General features: G+C 37.7%; 1 annotated feature.

Annotated features, from left to right (window-relative positions):
• Positions 250 to 450: a silencer, noted in NCBI's record as "peak588 fragment used in MPRA reporter construct". NCBI's record gives its function as "represses an SCP1 promoter by STARR-seq MPRAs in K562 erythroleukemia cells {active_cell/tissue: K562}" and the evidence as "EXISTENCE:reporter gene assay evidence [ECO:0000049][PMID:32103011]".

Raw genomic sequence — 2,544 nt, 5'->3', positions numbered from 1 at the left:
TTCCAGGTGCAAAATAATACAAAATCCTATGTAATACTGAGTGCATATAAGTTGAGTGGGTATAGGACAAAAATATTTACTTTCTTCTGCTTTAGGAGTGCTTGTATAAACAAGTTATGAAAACATTATGTCTATTCACTCCATTGAATTGAGTCTCTCCTTATCTTTCTTTCTCTCTGTAATCTTTCAAACTTTTTTTTTTTTTTGCTCTGTCACCCAGGCTACCCAGACTAGAGTACAGGCATCATCACTCACTGCTGCCATGACCTCCCAGGCTCTATAATGTTTGGCCTGTCTCAGCCTACTGAGTAACTAGGACTACAGACAGGTACAGTCATGCCTGGCTAATTTTTACATTTTTTTGTAGAGATGGAGTTTCGCCATGTTGCTCAGGCTGGTCTTGAACGCCTGTGCTTAAGTGATGTGCCTGCCTTGGCCTCCAAAAGTGCTGAGATTACAAGGCCTGAGCCACCATGCCAAGCCCTGTATAGCTATTTAATAGTTTCAAAATATCTCATGCCCCATTATTATATTTGTCTACCTTGTTTATTTCACTCAAGTGTTTTCAAATCCTGAATTCATTAAAAAAGGTTTTTCACTTGCTATATGGATTATAAAGTTCTTGAGGGCAGTCAGTTTGGTATTTTTTTAATTTAATTTAATTTAATTTAATTTAATTTAATTTAATTTAATTTAATTTATTATGTATTTTTGGAGTGCAGTGGTATGATCATAGCTCATTGTAGCCTGGAACTCCTGGACTCAGGTGATTCTGCCTCTGTCTTCTGAGTAGCTGGGACTAAAGGCATGCACCACCACACCAGTCTTTTTTTTTTTTTTAACTTTAATTCCAGGGATGCATGTGCTGAACATGCAGGTTTGTTCTATAGGTATATATCTACCATGGTGGTTTGATGCACCTATCAGCCCGTCTTCTAAGTTTTAAGTCCTGATGCATTAGCTATTTGTCCTAATGCTCTCCCTCTCCTTGCCCCTGTCCCCTGACAGGCCCAGGTGTGTGCTGTTCCCTTCCCTCTGTCTATGTGTTCTCACTGATCAACTCCCACTTATGAGTGAGAACATTCAGTGTTTGGTTTTCTGTGTTAGTTTGCTGAGGATGATGACTTCCAGTTTCATCCATGTCTCTGCAAAGGACATGATGTCATTCCTTTTTATGGCTGCATAGAATTCTATGGTGTATATGTACCACATTTTCTTTTTCTTTTATTATTATAGTTTAAGTTCTAGGGTACATGTGCACAACGTGCGGGAACCAAAAAACAGCCTGCATTGCCAAGACAATCCTAAGCCAAAAGAACAAAGCTGGAGGCATCACACTACCTGACTTCAAACTATACTACAAGGCTACAGTAACCAAAACAGCATGGTACTGGTACCAAAACAGAGATATAGACCAATGGAACAGAACAGAGCCCTCAGAAATAATACCACACATCTACAACCATCTGATCTTTGACAAACCTGACAAAAACAAGAAATGGGGAAAGGATTGCCTATTTAATAAATGGTGCTGGGAAAACTGGATAGCCATATGTAGAAATCTGAAACTGGATCCCTTCCTTACACATTATACAAAAATTAATTCAAGATAGATTGAAGACTTAAATGTTAGACTTAAAACCACATTTTCTTTAGCCTGTCTATCATTGATGGTCATTTGGGTTGGTTCCATGTCTTTGTTATTGTAAATAGTGCTGCAATAAACATACGTGTGCATGAGTCTTTATAGTAGAATGATTTATATTCCTTTGGGTATATACCCAGTTCCTGGGTCAAATAGTATTATTGGTTCTAGATCCTTCAGGAATTGCTGCACTGTCTTCCACAGTGGCTGAACTAATTTACATTCCCACCAGCAGTGTAAAAACATTCCAATTTCTCCACAGCCTCACCAGCATTTACTGTTTCTTGACTTTTTAATAATTGCTATTCTGACTGGCATGAGATGGTATCTCATTGTGGTTTTGATTTGCATTTCTCTGATGATCAGTGATGATGAGCCTTTTTTTTTGTTTTTGTATGTTTGTTGGCCACATAAATGTCTTGAGAAGTGTCTGTCCTTACCCTTTGCCCACTTTTTGATGAGGTTGTTTTTTTCTTTTGTATTTAAGCTCCTCATAGATTCCGGATATTAGACCTTTGTCAGATGGGTAGATTACAAAAGTTTCCTCTAATGCAGTAGGTTGCCTTGTCACTCTGATGATAGTTTCTTTTGCTGTTAAGAAGCTCTTTACTTTAATTAGATCCCATTGTCAATTTTGGCTTTTGTTGCAATTGCTTTGGCATTTTTGTCATGAAATCTTTGTCCATGCCTATGTCCTGAATGATATTACCTAGGTTTTCTTCTAGGGTTTTGATGGTTTTGGGTTTTACATTTAAGTGTTTAATCTACCTTAAGTTAATTTTTGTATAAGGTGTAAGGAAGGAGTCCAGTTTCAGATTTCTGCATATGTCTAGCCAGTTCTCACAGCACCATTTGTTAAATAGGGAATCCTTTCACCAATGCTTGTTTCTGTCAGGTTT

Source organism: Homo sapiens, chromosome 1 (genome assembly GCF_000001405.40).
Source record: "Homo sapiens chromosome 1, GRCh38.p14 Primary Assembly".
NCBI classification, from domain to species: Eukaryota; Metazoa; Chordata; class Mammalia; order Primates; family Hominidae; genus Homo; species Homo sapiens.
This window is presented reverse-complemented; position numbering and strand designations above follow the sequence as displayed.